The sequence below is a fragment of the Homo sapiens genome, chromosome 17, assembly GCF_000001405.40.
Source record: "Homo sapiens chromosome 17, GRCh38.p14 Primary Assembly".
NCBI classification, from domain to species: domain Eukaryota; kingdom Metazoa; phylum Chordata; class Mammalia; order Primates; family Hominidae; genus Homo; species Homo sapiens.
This window is the reverse complement of record NC_000017.11, coordinates 30,925,041-30,944,043: the sequence shown is the minus strand read 5'-3', so window position 1 is coordinate 30,944,043 and position 19,003 is coordinate 30,925,041. Positions and strand designations below refer to the sequence as shown.

The window sequence follows — 19,003 nt, the reverse complement described above, 5'->3', positions numbered from 1 at the left end:
ATTTTTTGTATTTTTAGTAGAAACGGGGTTTCACCATGTTAGCCGGGCTGGTCTCAAACTCCTGACCTCAGGTGATCTGCCCGCCTCGGCCTCCCAAAGTGCTGGGATTACAGGCATGAGCCACCGCCCCCGGCCAATCTGGTTCTTATTTATTTATTTATTTATTTATTTATTTATTTATTTATTTATTTATTTTTGAGATAGAGTCTTGCTCTGTTGTCCAGGCTGAAGTGCAATGGCGTGATCTGAGGTCACTGCAACCTCTGCCTCCCAGATTCTAACCATTCTCCTGCCTCAGCCTCCTGAGTAGCTGGGATTACAGACACGTGCCGCCATGCCTGGCTAATTTTTGTATTTTTAGTAGAGATGGGGTTTGACCATGTTGGTCAGGCTGTTCTTGAACTCCTGACCTCGTGATCCACCTGCCTCGGCCTCCCAAAGTTCTGGGATTACAAGCATGAGCCACTGTGCCCAGCCAATCTCATTCTTTTTTATGGCTGTGTAGTATTCTATGATGTTTATGTACCACATTTCCATTATCCAGTCCACCATTGATGGGCATCTGGGCCGATTCCATGTTTTTGCTATTGTAAATAGTGCTGCGATGAAAATACATGTACATGTGTCTTTACAGTAGAATTCTTTCTTTTTTCTTTTCTTTCTTTCCTTTTTTTTTTTCAGACTGAGTTTCACTCTTGTTGCCCAGGCTGGAGTACAATGGAGTGATCTCAGCTCACTGCAACCTCCACCTCCTGGGTTCAAGCGATTCTTCTGCCTCAGCCTCCCAAGTTGCTGGGATTACAGGGATACGCCACCACGCCTGGCTAATTTTGTATTTTTAGTAGAGACAGGGTTTCTCCATGTTGGTCAGGCTGATCTCGAACTCCCGACCTCAGGTGATCCGCCGGCCTCTGCCTTCCAAAGTGCTGGGATTACAGGCGTGAGCCACTGCATCCGGCCTATAGTAGAATTATTTCTATTGCTTTGGGTATATACCCAGTAATGGGATTGCTGGGTCAAATGTTAGTTCTGTTTTAAGTTCTTTGAGAAATCTCCAAACTGCTTTCTACCGTGGCTGAACTAATTTACATTCCTGCCACAAGTGTGTAAACATTCCCTTTTCTCCACAACCTCACCAGTATCTGTTACTTTTTTACTTTTTGATAACAGTCATTCTGACTGGTATAGATGGTATCTCATTGTGGTTTTGACTTACATTTCTCTGATTAGTGATGTTGAGCATTTTTTCATTTGCTTGTTGGCCACGTGTATGTCTTCTTTGAGAAGTGTCTGTACACATCTTTTGCCCATTTTAATGAGGTTCTTTTTGCTTTCAACATTATATTTTTGAGGTCTACCCATGCTGAGATACACCAGTCTAGTTTGCTCTTGTAAATGACTATACCAAAAGTTATCAATCTATTTTCTGTTAATAGATTGTTCCGATATATATATTGAGATTGTTCCTGATTTTTTGCTATCATAAGTAATGTTGCAGTCAGTTTGTGCATCTGGTACACATATGTGAGTGCATCTGTAGGTCACAGCGTATGCTTAGAAATGGAATTGCTGGATCACAGTTATATACATCTTCACTTACTAGAGACTGCCAAATTATTCTGCTGAATGGCTCAACAGTGATTGTACCAATATTTACTTCCATCAATGAAATAGAATAGTTCCCCTTTCCCCATATACTCACCAACACTTGACACTACCAGATTACAAAATTTTTGCCAATATGATGGGTATGGAATTGTATCTCATTGTTAATTTTCACTTAATCAACATTTATTGAGGTGTAGTTTAGAAACAATAAAGTGTACCCGTATTAAGTTTGGGCCGGGCACTGTGGCTCACACCTGTTATCCCAGCACTTTGGGAGGCCGAGGCAGGTGGATCACGAGGTTGAGAGATCGAGACCATCCTGGCCAACATGGTGAAATCCTGTCTCTACTAAAAATACAAAAATTAGCTGGGAGTGGTGGTACACACCTGTAGTCCCAGCTACTAGTGAGGGTGAGGAAGGAGAATCGCTTGACCCCAGGAGGCGGAGGCTGCAGTGAGCCAAGATCGCACCACTGCACTCCAGCCTGGTGACAGAGCAAGACTCCATCTCGAAAAAAAAAAAATAGTTTGATTTTTGACAAATGTATATACCCATGTAACCACAACAATCAAGATATAAAACATTACTTATCATCCTAAATGTCACCCCAAAAGACTTCACTCATCCCCCTTCGCAGAATCTCTACCCCATTCCAACACCAGATAACCACTTATTTGTCTTCTATCAGTACAGTTTTGCCTGTTCTAAAATTTCATATAAATGAGATCATATAATACTCTTATACAAGGTGACTTAGAAAAGTTCATGGAAAACACATAGTATGAAAAAGCTATGCATGGATTTCAAATTGTTTTGCACCAAAATAAACTCATACTAACTTGTTATAACATGTCTGAGTGGGATTTTGTTTGAGGCACTAAGAAGGATACGACATCAACTTGAAAACAGCCCCTCTCAGAGCAACATGAATTCTGCTAAAATTGAAGCAAGAACAAACATCAACATTTATGGTGAAGCTTGGATGGAAGAATGGTGAAATCACTGGTGCTTTCAGAAAAGTTTACGGGGACAAATCCCCAACAAAATTAGCAGTTTACAAATGGATAACTTGTTAAGGAGGGACAAGATGATGTTGAAGATGGCGCCTGCAGCAGCAGACCATCTACATCAATTTACAATGAAAAAAATCATCTTGTTCATGCCCTAATTGAAGAGAAGCAATAATTAACAGCACAAACAATAGCTAACACCACAGATACCTCAATTGGTGCAGCTCACACAAATCTGACTGAAAAATTAAAGCTGGGCAAACTTTCCACTCAATGGGTACCAATGCCATTGCACCCAGATCAGTTGCAGACAAGAGCAGAGCTTTCAATGGAAATTTTAAACAAGTGAGATCAAGATCCTGAGGCAGTTCTTTGAAGAACTGTAACAGGAGATGAAACATGGCTTTACCAGTATGATCCTGAAGACAAAGCATAATCAAAGCAATGGCTACCGAGAGGTTGAAGTGGTCCTGTCATAGCAAAAGCAGACCAGTCAAGAACAAAGGCCATGGTAAAGTTTTCTGGGAGATGCTCAAGGTATTTTGCTTGTTGACTTTCTAGAGGGCCAAAGAACAATAACATCTGCTCATTATGAGAGTGTTTTGAGAAAGTTAGCCAAAGCTTCAGCAGAAAAACATCTGAGAAAACTTCACCAGAGAGTCCTTCTCCCCCAGGACAATGCTTCAACTACATTTCTCTCATCAAACAAGGGCAATTTTGTGAGAGTTTCAATGGGAAGTGATTATGCATCATCTTACAGTCCAAATTCGGCTCCTTCTAACTTCTTTTTGTTTTCTAATCTTAAAAAATCTGTAAAGGAGGCCGGGCATGGTGGCTCACGCCTGTAATCCCAGCACTTTCAGAGACCAAGGCGGGCGAATCACTTGAGGTCAGGAGTTCGAGACCAGCCTGGCCAACATGGTGAAACCCCGTCTCTACTAAAAATACAAAAATTAGCCCAGCATGGTGGCCAACGCCTGTAATCCCAGCTCCTGGGGAGGCTGAGGCAGGACAATCACTTGAACCTGGGAGGCGAAGGTTGCAGTGAGCCGAGATCGTGCCACTGTACTCCAGCCTGGGCGATGAAGCGAGACTCCATCTCGAAAAAAAAAAAATCTGTAAAGGGTACCCATCTTTCTTCAGTTAATAGTGTAAAAAAAAAGGCCAGGCGTGGTGACTTATGTCTGTTATCCTAGCACTTTGGGAGACTGAGGCTGGTAGATCGGTTGAGTTCAGGAGTTCAAGACCAACCTGGGCAACATGATGAAATCCTGTCGTTGCCAAAAAATACAAAAATTAGCCAGGCATGGTGGTGTGTGCCTGAAGTCTCAGCTACTCGGGAGGCTGAGGTGGAAGGAGCGCTTGAGCCTGGGAGGTTGTGGCTGCAGTGAGCTAGAATTGCACCACTGTACTCCAGCCTTGGTGAAAGAGCAAGACCCTGTCTCAGAAAACAGCATAAAAAAACAAAATGTAAAAAAGACTGCATTGGCATGGTTAAATTCCCAGGACCCTCAATTGCTAGGGGATGGACTAAATGGCTGGTGTCATCACTTATAAAAGTGTCTTGACCTTGATGGAGCTTATGTTGAGAAATAAAGTTTATATCTTTAATTTTAATCTCATTTGTCCAATACCTTTTTTTTTTTTTTTTTTGGAAATGGAATTTTGCTCTTTCGCCCAGGCTGGAGTGCAGTGGCGCCATCTCGGCTCACTGCAAGCTCCGCCTCCCAGGTTCGGGCCATTCTCCTGCCTCAGCCTCCTGAGTATCTGCGACTACAGGCGCCTGCCACCACGCCCAGCTAAGTTTTTGTATTTTTAGTAGAGACGGGATTTCACCGTGTTAGCCAAGATGGTCTCAATCTCCTGACCTCGTGATCTGCCTGCCTCGGCCTCCCAAAGTGCTGGGATTTCAGGTGTGAGCCTCCGAGCCTGGCCTCCAAGAACTTTTTGAAGTGCTTTGTATAGAGCTTGGGGCTTTTTTTTTTTTTTTTCAGTTTCACTTTCTTTATACTTCATTTCCTTTTTTGTATTACCCAAAAGTTTTACCTAAAAATTAGTTACCTTTATGATTTTAAAATATCCACTTTGGGAAATAAATAAAAAAGAACATAGGGAGCCCATTCTATTTTTGGACTATTCTAGACTGAACTGGCGTAGGACTGAAAAACAGATCAACTTTTTTCAACCAATGATGAGGCCCTGTCCGAGAGACCAACTCGCAGCAGCTGCTGGGGTTTGGTGACCTTTCCTAACTGCAGTAGCGCTTTCTCTTCCGGCCTTTTGTACCATTTCAGCAAAAATGTTGAAAAAGCCACATTTTTCAGTGCTTTACATTGAAGACTGGGAAAAAATTCTTCCTCTAACTTGGAGGGTAAAGATTCTTCATCCCTTAACACTTTTTACTTGGTCCCAGACTGTGGCCACATTGGACAGACCTTTTATATTATTATTTATACAAATTTATGGGGTACATGTGAAATTTCGCTACATGTATATAATGTGTAGTGATCAAGCCAGGATATTTAGGGTGTTGGTCACCAGAGTATTTTTGTTAAGCATAGTTACCCCACTCTGGTATCAAATATTGAATTTATTCCTTGCATCTTACAATGTTTGTACCCTTTAACCCACTTCTCTTCATCCTCCCTTCTCCTCCCCATAGACAGACCTTTTAGCATTGCTCTGGTCTGCCTAGAAAAGCAACAGGGGGAATATATAATAATTCTACATATAGGAAATAGAGTAAGGTGAAGGCTAAAGTGCTCAGAGCTTATCCTTCTCTTACTTTGTTGGCCACAATTTCACATTCTCTTTGCTGAAAACTTCTTATCTTTCTGTCCTTTAAATACTGGAATGCCCCAGGGCTCAATGGGGTAGATGGTCTCCAAAGATGGCGCTCACCCAGTCTTTCCCTCCCAGTGTATACGTGACCCTCTATCCATGAAGAGGTTGAATCTATTTCCCCTCCCCTTGAATCAGGGCTTGTTGCATGACTTGCTTTGACCAACAGAATGCAGCTCCTGGTTAGCCTTCCAGAGGTCTGGTAGCATTTGCTTTTGTTTAGGGAAGTCAGCAGCCAAGCCACAAGAAAGCTTAAGCTAGACTCCTGAATGAGAAAGACAGAGCCCCCATATAGAGTACACCAAGGCACCAGACATGAGTGAAAGCTTCTTTGGGTCTCTGGCCAGCTAAGGGCAGCAGAGTAGCCCAGCTGATGCCACATGGAGTACACCAGAACAGCCGAGGCCTCCTCAAATTCCTGACCCATAGGATTGTGAGAAATAGTAAATTGATATTTTAAGCCATTAAGTTTTAGGATGGTTTGTTACTCAGCAACACATAACCAAAATACTCAGTCCTTGAACACCTTTTTCCTGCTTAGGTGATCCTAGCCAGTCCCATTACTAAACCAGTCTACATGCTGACGACTCCAGTTCCAAACTCTCTCCAAGCCTCCAAATCAGACATCCAACTTCTGCCACTTGGGTTTAGAATTCAGGAAACATACATCCAACTTCTTTCCCCATGTCTCTACTGGATGACTCATAGGCATCTCAAAATAAAAAGGACTTTTGAGCATCCCCTTAGGGGTCTAAGTCTTTGCCACCTTAGTAAATAGCAAATCTATTCTTGTAGTTTTATAGAGCAAAAATCTGGGAATCATCCTTGATTCCTCTTACTCTCACACCCCACATCCAATCCTTCAATAAATTCTATTGCCTCTACTTCCAAAATATATCCAGAATCTGACCACTTCTAACCATCCTGGTCGGATCCACCATTCTTCTTCACTTGGGTTATTGCAACAGCTTCCTGACTAATTTCTCTGCCTCTGCTCTGGCCTCCTTCCTCCCTACTCACCCTAGCAGCAGCCAGCGTGCTGCTTTTTAAAAGCTTAAGTCAGGCTGGGCGCAGTGGCTCATGCCTATAATCCCAGCATTTTGGGAGGCTGAGGTGGGCAGATCACATGAGGTTAGGAGTTCTAAATCAGCCTGGTCAACATGGTGAAACCCTGTCTCTACTAAAAATACAAAAATTAGCCGGGTGTGGTGGTGCACGCCTGTAGTCCCAGCTACTGGGGAGGCTGAGGCAGGGGAATCACTTGAACCCGGGAGGTGGAGGTTGCAGTGAGCCGAGATCACACCATTGCACTTCAACCTGAGCAATAGAGTGAAATCCCATCTCAAAAAATAAATAAATAGGCCGGGCGCGGTGGCTCACGCCTGTAATCCCAGCACTTTGGGAGGGTGAGGTGGGTGGATCACGAGGTCGGAAATTCAAGACCAGCCTGGCCAAGATGGTGGAACCCTGTCTACTAAAAATACAAAAACTAGCCAGGCATGGTGGTGCGCGCCTGTAATCCCAGCTACTCGAGAGACTGAGGCAAAGAATTGCTTGAACCTGGGAGGCAGAGGTTGCAGTGAGCCGAGATCACGCCACTGCACTCCAGCCTAGGTGACAGAGTGAGCCTCCATCTCAAATCAATCAATCAATCAAAAACTTAAGTCAAATAATATCACTTCTCAGCTCAAAATCCTCCAATTTCTTCCCATCTCACTCAGTAAAATCCAAAAGCTCAAATTTTTGCAAATCCTACATGTATAAGTGACTTGTATCTAGAATATATACAGAACTATTACAACTTAATAATAAAAAGACAAATAACCTAATTAAAATATGGGGAAAGTATCTGTGTTAGCCAAGATGGTCTCCATCTCCTGAACTCCTGATCTGCCCACCTCGGCCTCCCAAAGTGCTGGGATTACAGGCGTGAGCCACCGCGCCCGGCCAATATGGGAAAGGATCTGAATAGACATTTCTACAAATAAGATATACAAATGGCCAATAAGCACATTAAAAAGATGCTCAACATCATTTGCCATGTGGGAAACGCCAATCAAAACCACAATGAGATACGACTTCATACCCATGAAGACGGCTATTATAAAAAAGACAGATATGGGCCTGGCGTAGTGGCTCACATCTATAATCCTAGTACTTTGGGAGGCTGAGGCAGAGGATTGCTTGAAGCCAGGAGTTTGAGAACAGCGTAGACAACAAAGCAAAACCCTATCTCTACAAAAATAAATAAGTAAATAAAAATTAGCTGGGTGGAGTGGTATGCATCTGCAATCCCAGTGCTTTGAGAGACCGGAGCAGGAGGAGTGCTTGAGGCCAGTAATTTAAGGTTGCAGTGAGCTATGATTGCACCACTGCACTCCAGCCTGGCCAACAGAGGAAGACTCTGTCTCTAAAAAAATAAATAAGATAAAATAGTAAAATAAAATAAAAATAACCAGATTAGGCAAATCCATAGAGACAGAAAGTAAGTTGTTGGTTGCCTAGGGCTAGTGGTGGGGTGGGGTGGGGGATTACAGCTAAGGGATAAGGTGTTTAAAGTTTTTAACTGAATTGTGGTGATAGTTGTGCTACTCTGTGAATACACTAAAAGCCAATTGACTGCATACTTTTAATGGGTGAATTATATGGTATGTGAATTGTATCTCAATAAACTGTTACCAAAAGAAATCCCAAGTCTTGCTATGACCTACAAGGCCCTCCACCATGTGACTTCATCTCCCTCCACACTTTTCCTTGCTCACTCTGCACAAGTCGCTCTGCCCTCCTTGATGCCCTACACCCACCAAACACACTTCTAGCTCAGGGCCAGGGTTGCAGCTTATGGTTAAGTCGTTTGTGCACTGCATAAAAAGCTCCTAGCTGACTGGTAACTGCAAACCAGGCTTCTGATTTTCGAGACTGGGGCCCAGGGGCTGCACCCTCTTAAAGGGATCATCTTTCTCAAATCGGTACAAAGGTGTATGTGTTTGACCATACCTGTGCTCAGGGCTTCTGCACATACTGTTCCTCCCCTTTCTTCTATTCTTCCCCCCACATAGCCATGTAACTCAGTGCTCACATTTGTTCAGTTATCTGCTCAAATGTCACCAGAGAGGCCTTCCCTGATCACTCTGCAGCAGCACTCCCTGACTCCCTAACACACTCTCATTGTTGTCTATCTTCTCACTCTCCGCTATTTTACTTCTTTTTTTCTTGAGACGGAGTTTCACTCTTGTTGCCCAGGCTGGAGTGCAATGGCACGATCTCAGCTCACCACAACCTCCACCTCCCAGGTTCAAGTGATACTCCTGCCTCAGTCTCCCGAGTAGCTGGGATTACAGGCATGCACCACCACGCCCAGCTAATTTTATATTTTTTTAGTAGAGATGGGGTTTCTCCATGTTGGTCAGGCTGGTCTCAAACTCCCGACCTCAAGTGATCCACCTGCCTTGGCCTCCCAAAGTGCTGGGATTACAGGCATGAGCCACCATGCCCGGTTTTTGTTTTTGTTTTTGTTTTGTTTTGTTTTTTGAGACAGGGTCTCACTCTGTCACCCATGCTAGAGTACAGTGGCACAATCTCGGCTCAATGCAGCCTCGACCTCCCATGCTCAAGCAGTTCTCCCACCTCAGACTCCCTAGTAGCTGGGACTACAGGCATGTGCCACCATACAAAGGTGTATGTGCTTGACCCAGCTAATTTTTGTATTTTTTGTAGAGATGGGGCTTCACCATGTTGCCCAGGCTGATCTCAAACTTCTGAACTCAAGCAATCCCCCTGCCTCAATCTCTTACTAAAGTGCTGGGATTATAGGTGTGAGCTACTGTGCGCAGCCACTTCTATTTTACTTTATAAAACTATTGCCTCCTGGTATATTATATATTGATGTTTTGATTACGGAGCTCTTTCCTTTCACTAGACTGAAAGCTCCCTGAGAACAAGAGTTTTGTTTAGTTCCCTGCTGTATCCTCAGTGCCTGGAATAATGTCTAGCACACAGTAGGTACTCAATAAATGTTTCTTAAGTGAATGAATAAATGAAGCAAAACCAAGTGGTCATCAAAGGCTTAAACATGGACCTATCTAAGCTGATTCTAGGTGGACAGAAAGTATGATTTTTGGTGGACTGGATTTACTGTATAGCCAAGGAAAAGTAGCCAAATGTTGTGCCTAACTCTCAGGGGCTGAGATTATCTACAAGAAAAGGGCACCACTGATTAGAATGTAGACCTTAGTCGGGTGAGAGTGCTCAGGAAGGGACCTGCTCTCATTGGTCTGGCATCTTACCTGTTCCTTTGTGAAGTACTTCAGGAGGCCTTCTCTTGCCAGAAGTACAAACTTCCTTCTCAGAAACTGTGAGTTGTCCCTTCCTCGCTTCCACAGGAATCCTTCTCGGTTACCTTAAGCAGCAAGGATGACAAAGCGTGAACACACGTGACCTTAAGATCACAAGCAGCTCAGGAACCTCTGAGGTTCTCAAGGGTGGAATAAGCCTTCCATCTGCTGCCAAAGTATCTCCACTCAGACTTCCCTATTTCAGCTGCAGAACACAAGGATCCCATCTGTGGCCAACTTTGTGATGTCTTTTCACTTCAGGGGCACTTCCCACTGCCTAAAACCTTTCTTCCTTGACTTTCTGTGTATCAGGCTGTCTCATAAGAAGACCCTTAAGAAGGCAAAGTCCTGAGAAACTGGACTGATTCTGAAAGACACTTAAATACATACTAAATACATATGGTCCTGCCCAACTTCATGCTGACATCAACCTAATGAAACTTTAGAAGTAAGGCAGGGCGCAGTGGCTCACGCCTGTAATCCCAGCACTTTGGGAGGCCGAGGCGGGCAGATCACAAGGTCGGGAGTTCAAGACCAGCCTGACCAACATGGTGAAACCCCGTCTCTACTAAAAATACAAAAATTAGCTGGGCATGGTGGCGCGTGCCTGTAATCCCAGCTACTCAGGAGGCTGAGACAGGAGAATCACTTGAACCCGGGAGGGGGAGGTTGCAGCGAGCCGAGATTGTGCCACTGCACTCCAGCCTGGGTGACACAGTGAGACTCCCTCCGGGCATCTGCTGGTTTGAAGAATAATTTATGGGCTGGGTGCAATGGCTCACACCTGTAATCTTGACACCTTGGGAAGCCAAGGCAGACAGATCACTTGAAGTCAGGAGTTTGAGATCAGCCTGGCCAACATGGCAAAACCCTGACTCTCCTAAAAATATAAACATTAGCCAGGTGTGGTTGTGCATGCCTGTAATCCCAGCTACTCGGGAGACTGAGGCATGAGAATCACTTGAACCTGGGATGTGGAAGTTGCAGTGAGCCGAGTTCACGCCATTGCACTCCAGCCTGGGTAACAGAGTGAGACCCTGACTCAATAAATAAATACATAAATAAATAGAATAATTTGTGGTCCTGGTAGCCAGGATAGCTGAGCACTGCCTCTGGCCCTCTAAGAATGATTTTTTATACTTTACTGTCTGGGTCAGAGTCAGCTTGGACTCAGGACCGTGGGGGTGAAACTGCCACAGGTCCAGGGCCACAGAAGAGGTTGTACCCTGCACAATGGTCGAAAGGGAGGCTGAATTTAAGCCCATCCTCCTCACCAAGTCTTGAGCTGCACCAGGAATAAAGCTCACCAGGAGCAGGGATATCTTTTCCTAATTGGTCTGTCCAGTGGAGGAGTCTTTCTGCAATTTACATTAAGTGTTTGATGCTGGGCGCGGTGGCTCATGCCTGTAGTCCCAGAACTTTGGGAGGCTAAGGTGGGCAGATCATGAGGTCAGGAGTTCGAGACCAGCCTGGCCAACATGGTAAAACCCCGTCTTTACTAAAAATACAAAAATTAGCCAAGCATGATGCTGTAATCCCAGCTACTCAGGAGGCTGAGGCAGGAGAATCGCTGGAACCCAGGAGGCAGAGGCTGCACTGAGCTGAGATCATGCTACTGCACTCCACCCTGGGCAACAAGAGCAAGACTCTGTCTCAAAAAAAAAAAAAAGAAGAAGAAGAAAAAGAAAAAGAGTCTGGCTGGGCACAGTGGCTCATGCCTGTAATCTCAGCACTTTGGGAGGCCAAAGCGAAAGGATCACTTGAGTTCAGGAGTTCAAGACCAGCCTGGGCAACATGGTGAAACCCCATCTCTACAAAAAATAAAAATAAAAAAATAAAAGCCACTAAAATTAGCCAGGTATGGTGGCATGTGCCTGTAGTCCCAGCTAGTTGGGAGGCTGAGGTGGGAGGATCATGTGAGCCCGGGAGATTGAAGCTGCAGTGAGCTGTGATAGTGCCACTGCACTCCAGGCTGGACAACAGAGTAAGACCCTGTCTCAAAAAAAAAAAAAAAAAAAAGAGTCTGTACACACTTGTGACCCTGCAAAGACCTGAGACAAAGACCATAGAAGCTCTGAGCTTCTCTGCTGCTCAGAGCATAAAGCCCCACCAGCTGATGTGTTGTTATTTCAAAGTCAGAAGAACCCACACCTTGGCCTCTGCGGCCACAGTGAGAACAGCAGGCATCTCTTGGATGGATCTTGCTCCTAATATTTAGGCACTTGGTTTTTCTAGAGCTCATTAAAACATAGATTTCAAAAGGTGATGGAAATAACTTTACCTGGGAGCGAGATGGTTTCCCCATCAGCCATAAATTCCCGTCTCTCATACTTAGCTCGAATCCATTGTTCCTTTAAGACCCTAAAAAGAGAGAGCCTGAGGTCAGCTGCGTTTGATGCATTCTCTTTTTTTTTTTTTTTTGAGACAGGGTCTCCCTCTGTTGCCCAGGCTGGAGTGCAGTGGTGTGATCACGTGATCACGGCTCACTGCAGCCTAGACCTCCTAGGCCCAGGCGATCCTCCCATCTCAGCCTCTTAAGTAGCTGGGATCACAGGCAGGCACCACCACACCTGGCTAATTTTTAAATTTTTGTAGAGATGGGGGTCTCCCTATGTTGCCTAAGCTGGTCTTGAACTCCAGGGCTCAAGCGATCCTCCTGCCTCAGCCTCCCAAAGTGCTGGGATTACCACCATGCCTGGACTGATGCATTCTTTTCCAAGACCCTGCAGTTGAGGGTGGGAACATCACAGCAGTGCCTCACTGCCTGCTCCAGCTACCTAGGATTCCTCAGCCTCAGTACTGTTAACATTCGGGGTTGGATAATTCCTTGTTCTGTTGTCTTATGGGTTGTCCCATGCTCCACAGAATGTTTAGCAGCATTTCTGGCCTCTACCCATTAGATGCCAGTAGCACCCCCTCCCCAGTTGTGGCACCCAAAAATGTCTTCAGGCATTGCCAAATGTCCTCTGGGGGAAATATTTCTCCCAGTGGGCTATATGAGAACCACCGAGTTGTTCCAATCCCAGTATCAGCTCTCTAGGTCAATGAGACAGATACTGGCTCCTCTGGACCATCTACACCACCTGCTCCCACTGTGTGTTCATGAGCTTAGGCAGGAGAGTCCAGGAGCCTCTTCCTGTACCTGCCCATGAAGTCTGGGCAGGCTACACTGGACAAAGCAGTCGTCTTAGGATCTGACCACCTGGGACCTGGTCTCACTCTATCATTTATCCACTGTGTGACCATGAGCAAGTTACCCAACTCCTCTGAATTTGGGGAATAGACCTCTATTGTTATACTCACTTAGCCCTCAGGGTTGTTGAGAGGTTTAAATGTATATAAAGGGCCTAGCACCTACTCAGCACATAGTAGGTGTTTAATGTGATCTCAATCAGAGATTGTCATCCGTGAGTCCTGCAGAAAAACCATGCAGCCGAGAGTGGAGTTATTTTAATTGTTTGGTTCCTGCTCACCTTTTCCAGGGAAGTGTTCCAAGGTATATATGACCTTACCCCATAGCCACAGGAATGACCTAGAGCTGGGCATCTGGCCCAACCTGGTCATTCAGAGCTCTTTGCTGCTCTGGGCTGTGTGGACTGAGAGGGTCAAAAGTGAAGGAGAGATTGATGGAGCTTTCTCCAGAGTCACGCTGGAAGGTATAGCCTGGCACCTGCTTGTGGCCTTGCTGCCAGCTGTGTGAAGGAAGCCTGTCTGAGAGAAAGAGGAAAGAGAGCCAGAGAGAGTATGAGAGACCTGATGGTGTGTGAGCTCCTGGCTTGGTCCTTCCTGAGGCCAGCTCCACCACTGTCCTTCAGGTAGTCTGATCCCCAGAACCCATAAAATCCTCTTTTTTTAATGCTGGTTTAAACTGGGCTTCTGGCCAGGCGCAGTGGCTCACACTTGTAATCCTAGCACTTTGGGAGGCCAAGGCAGGCAGATCACTTGAGGTCAGGAGTTCAAGACCAGCCTGGCCAACATAGCAAAACCCCGGCTCTACCAAAAATACAAAAATTAGCTGGGCATGGTGGCACGTGCCTGTAATCCCAGCTACTTGGGAAGCTGAAACAGGAGAATCGCTTGAACCCAGGAGGTGGAGGTTGCAGTCAGCTGAGATTGTGCCACTGCACTCCAGCCTGGGTGAAAGAGCAAGACTCTGTCACAAAAATAAATAAATAAATAAATAAATAAATAAATAAATAAATAAGGTTTCTGTCGCTTACAATCAAGAGTCCAGGCTGGGCATGGTAACTCATGCCTGTAATCCCAGCACTTTGGGAGGCCAACACAGGCAGATGGCTTGAGCTCAGCTCAGGAGTTTGAGACCAGCCTGGGCAACATGATGAAACCTCATCTCTACAAAAATAAAAACAAACAAAAATACAAAAATTAACCAGGCATGGTGGCATGCACCTGTAGTTCCAGCTACTTGGGAGGCTGAGGTGGGAGGATCACTTGAGCCGAGGAGGTTGGGGCTGCAGTGAGCCATGATTGTGCCACTGAACTCTAGCCTGGGCAACAGAGTGAAACCTTGTCTCTATATTTAAAAAAGAAAGAAAGAAAAAAGAGAGAGAGAGTCATTCCTAGTGCACAGCCCACAGATCACTGAGGAGAATCACCTGGCCCACCATGAGGGTGGAAACCCTGGGACACAAGATCAGAGCAGGGAGAAGGAATGGAGACCAAGGGCCACCCATGTTGGTCCTGAAGGTGGCCATTAGTACTCAGACAAAAAGGGTTAAAGTGCAGGGCTGCTGCTGGAGTCATGGTGGGTAATGTCTGTTTAGTGCCGGCAGGAAGCCTAGCACAGCGCACGTGTTCACTGAGCACTTGGAGCAAAGGACAGAGTGGCAGCAGCGAGCCAGGATGAGACAGGCCCTCTCGAGTCAGCACACCCCACAGCTGGCCATGGACAGGTAGCATTCTGAAGCAGACACAGTGAAATGGATTCAAACCCGTGTGTCGGGTGGCATGTGAAAGGTTCTACATAAGTTATCTCATGTAATCTCTACAAGTATGCTATGATGCAGGCATCATTGCCTACATTTCAGAGATGAGGATGTTGACAATCAGAGAGATTTGCTGACTTGCCCACGTCCTCCCAGCTAGGTCACAGTAGAGCTAGGAAACAAAACTGAGGTCTTCCAAGTAGAAAGCTGTGCTTCCCCAGCCACTCCAGAGTACATTACTAGCTCTTAATTGTCTAAGCACTGAGAAATTACAAGACCACTAGGTATGGTTATATAGTCTGTGTACTGCCCAAAAGCACCTTGCTGAGGCTCGGCAGCTGAAATGCAGCTGCTTTCTGTTTGCCAGACATACCCGCTATGAGGCTGGGTCAGCCTAAAGGGATTCCTTCTCCCCATTTACACAAGATACTGTCTAGCAGCCCTGGTGGGGAGTCTAAGTCCCTGGGAAGGAGTCGTAGGCTCAGGCAGTCAGATCTGCAGAGGTCCAGGGCCACTAGGTACCAGTGCCACACTAACCCTCACCTCCAGGGGACCTGAACCCTCCTGCTGCTTCAAAGCCCCCCTCTTATATAAAATTATCCCAATTCCATGAAACAGTCACCCTGGCCCTGGTGTCAGACAGGCTAGACCAGTATTGCCTCCACAAACCTCAGGTTTTTTCATCTATAGCATAGGGATAGTAGCAGTACTTGTAGGGTTGTTGAAAGAATTAAATAAATACATGCACATAAGCATTTTGCACAGGGCGTAGTACTTAAGCAAAGCTCAATAATATTAGTAGCAATTTTTTTTTTGAGACAAAGTCTCACTCTGTTGCCCAAGCTGGAGTGCAGTGGTGCAATCTCTGCAACCTCCACCTCTCGGGTTCAAGCGATTCTCCTCCCTCAGCCTCTCGAGTAGCTGGGACTACAGGCATGTACCACCATGCCCAGCTAATTTTTTAATTTTTAGTAGAGACGGGGTTTCACTATGTTGGCCGGGCTGGTCTTGAACTCCTGGCCTCGAGTGATCCGCCCGCCTCGGCCTCCCAAATTGCTAGGATTACAGGTGTGAGCCGCCACATCCGGCCTTTTTTTTTTTTTTTTTTTTTTTGAGACAGTCTCCTTCTGTTGCCCAGGCTGGAGTGCAGTGGCGTGATCTTGGCTCAATGCACCCTCTGCCTCCGGGTTCAAACAATTCTCATGCCTTAGCCTCCTGAGTAGCTGGGACTACAGGCATGAGCCACCGCATCCAGCCAGTAGCTACTTTTTTTTTTTTTCTAATGCTAGGTCTCACTCTGTCACTCATACTAGAGTGCAGTGACACATGTGATCCTAGCTCACTGCAATCTGGGCTCAAGCAATCCACCCACTTCAGTCTTCCTAGTAGCTCAGACTACAGGCACGTGCTACTATGCCCTGGCTAAGTTCATTTTATTTTATTTTTTGTAGAGACAGGGTCTTGCTATGTTGCTCAGGCTGACATTGAACTCCTATCTTCAAGCGATCCTCCCACCTCAGCCTCCCAAAGTGCTAGGATTACAGGCACTGGCCATTGTGCCTGGCTGTTATTCTTATTTTTATGGTTAGTATTTAGGGATCTGCAGCTCAGGCAAGTTGTTTAGAGCCAGCCCGAGCTTAGGTGGCAGAGCCCTAGACATATTTCTATCTTTTATTTTTTTTTTTTTTTGAGCCGGAGTCTCGCTGTGTTGCCCAGGCTGGAGTGCAGTGGCGCCATCTTGGCTCACTGCAAGCTCTGCCTCCCGGGTTCACACCCTTCTCCTGCCTCAGCCTTCCAAGTAGCTGGGACTCCAGTGCCCGCCACCACGCCCGGCTAAATTTTTTTTGTATTTTTAGTAGAGACAGGCTTTCACCGTGTTAGCCAGAATGGTCTCGATCCCCTGACCTCGTGATCTGCCCGCTTCGGCTTCCCAAAGTGCTGGGATTACAGGCCTGAGCCACCGTGCCTGGCCAGCTCTAGACATATTTCTCTAAAGGAAGTAGCTGAAACACACTTGGTCTAGTAAGATACTAGTGTTTACCCCCTCTTATCAAGTTAGCCACCATCTGTAAGCTACAAGAATGTCACAGGCAGAGATCATAGAGAAAAATCATAGAGATCATACAGAAAAATCCTCCATTTAAGAGCTGTGGAAACTGAGGCCCAGAGAAAGGAAGAGACACGCCCAAGCAACAGAGGCAGAAAGAGGCTTATACCAGTCTTCCCATGTGCTCTCTGTGATGGTATCCAGTGCTTTCCTGGATCCACCTGCGCACCAGGCCCATAGAAGAGACCACCACAGATGAAGACACCAAAGATGGAGAGGGGGAGGAGGTGGAACCAGGACAGACCCCTCACCCAGTCCCTAAGGAATCACCCACTCACAGGCAGTCGTTGGCCTGGGGGATGTAGTAGAAAGCTGGGACTCTGGCTTCGAACTTGGCCTTCACACGGAGGTTTCCATTGTGGATCATAAACTGCAAGACAACAGCAACCTGAGGTAATATTAGAACTTGAAAAAACGTGAAATGAAACTATGAGGCCACTGACTTAGGCTGAGTCAGAAGAAACTGCCTCCAAGAAGGAGATGTCCCACCGGGCTTGGTCATCCATACTGCTGGGAAGCCCCAGCCTGTAACAATCATGGGCAGATATAACCATGCCTCATATGGGCACAGGACTCCACAGTGCTCACACATCAGCTCACTGGGTCCTCTCAGCCATTTTCATATCACTGTACTCATTTTACAGATGAGTCAACTGAGGCTCAGACGGGTTAGGTTACTTGTTCAAGGAAACACAGCTATAAGTGGAGAACTGGGATTTGAACCCAGACCTGACTCCAAAGCTCATATTCTTCCTATCATGCCTTCCACAGATGGCCAGGACCCCTAGCAGCCCTGAAAGTCTGCAGGAGATAAATGTACCTGGAGGATGGAAGAAGTGGGTGCTCGCCTCATGGAGTGCATAGGTCAGGATGATTAGTAGGGCCCTTTGGCACCCAAGAGACCCAGAGGCTGATGCACCAAAAGTGGCCCTGGCAGCAGTGGCATAGCTAGGGTGAGGGCAGAAGTGGGAAGAAACACCAGGTTTTCAATTCACATCGCTTGGGCATCTCCTTTGCAGGAGAGGAGCATTGCTCCTCTTCTCCTCTGCAGGGGCCGCTAGGCTGTGTCGCCAGCTTTGGATCCCAACAGAGCAGGATTCAGATCCTGACTGCCATTTATTTGATGAGTGACCCTTGGAATCTCACCCGTAAAAATGAAGAAAATGGCCAGGCACAGTGGCTCACACCTGTAATCCCAGCACTGTGGGAGGCCAAGGCTGGGGATCACTTGAGGTCAGCAGTTTGAGACCAGCCTGACCAACATGGTGAAACCTTGTCTCTACTAAAAAAATACAAAAATTAGCCAGGACACAGAAAGGTGAGGCAGGATAATTGCTTGAACCCGGGAGGCAGAGGTTGCAGTGAGCCGAGATTTTGCCACTGCCCTCAAGCCTAGGCAATAGAGCAAGACTCTCTCTCAAATAAATAAATAAATTAGCCAGGTATGGTGGTGCACGCCTGTAATCCTAGCTACTCAGGAGGCTGAGGCACAAGAATTGCTTGAACCCAGGAGGAGGAGGTTGCAGTGAGCCAAGATCACACCACTACACTCCAACCTGGGCAACAGAGTGAGTGAGACTCCGTCTCAAAAAAAAAAAAGAAAGAAAGAAAAGAAAAGAAAAGAAAAGAGAAGAAGAAGAAGAAGAAGGAAGAAGGAAGAAGAAGAAGAGGAGGAGGAGGAAGAAGAAGAAGGAAATATAACAGAGGATTGGGCGCTGTAGCTCACACCTGTAATCCCAGCACTTTGGGAGGCTAAGGCAGGTGGATCACCTCAGGTCAGGTGTTCAAGACCAGCCTGGCCAACATGGCGAAACCCCATCTCTACTAAAAATACAAAAAATTAGCCGGGCATGGTGGCGGGCGCCTGTAATCCCAGCTACTCAGGAGACTGAGGCAGGAGAATCGCTTGAATCCAGGAGGTGGAGGTTGCAGTGAGCCGAGATCGTGCCACTCACTGCACTCCAGGCTGGGTGACAGAGTGAGACTGCATCTCAAAAAAAAAAAAAAAAAAAATGCTGGGCACGGTGGCTCACGCCTGTAATCCCAGCACTTTGGGAGGCCGAGGCGGGTGGATCACCTAAGGTCAGGAGTTTGAGACCAGCCTGACCAACAGGGTGAAACCCTGTCTCTAGTAAAAATTCTACTAAAAATACAAA

General features: G+C 46.2%; 1 protein-coding gene across 9 annotated transcripts in view, besides 1 other annotated feature; it reads right to left on the bottom strand.

Moving 5' to 3' along the window:
• Positions 1-19,003, bottom strand: part of ADAP2 (ArfGAP with dual PH domains 2) — a 37,378-nt gene that overhangs the window by 15,279 nt on the left and 3,096 nt on the right. For 4 of the 9 annotated variants that reach the window (NM_001346712.2, XM_024450834.2, XM_024450832.2 and 1 more), the window contains exons 3-5: positions 17,126-17,235; positions 12,076-12,155; positions 9,747-9,859 (exon numbers count right to left, since the gene is read on the bottom strand). In NM_001346712.2, the coding sequence (NP_001333641.1) occupies positions 9,747-9,859; positions 12,076-12,155; positions 17,126-17,235 (303 nt within the window). The remainder of the gene's footprint in view (positions 1-9,746; positions 9,860-12,075; positions 12,156-17,125; positions 17,236-19,003) is intronic. The other 5 variants (NM_018404.3, NM_001346716.2, NM_001346714.2 and 2 more) reach the window with 3 other exon arrangements.
• Positions 5,562-5,762: a silencer, noted in NCBI's record as "peak2796 fragment used in MPRA reporter construct". NCBI's record gives its function as "represses an SCP1 promoter by STARR-seq MPRAs in K562 erythroleukemia cells {active_cell/tissue: K562}" and the evidence as "EXISTENCE:reporter gene assay evidence [ECO:0000049][PMID:32103011]".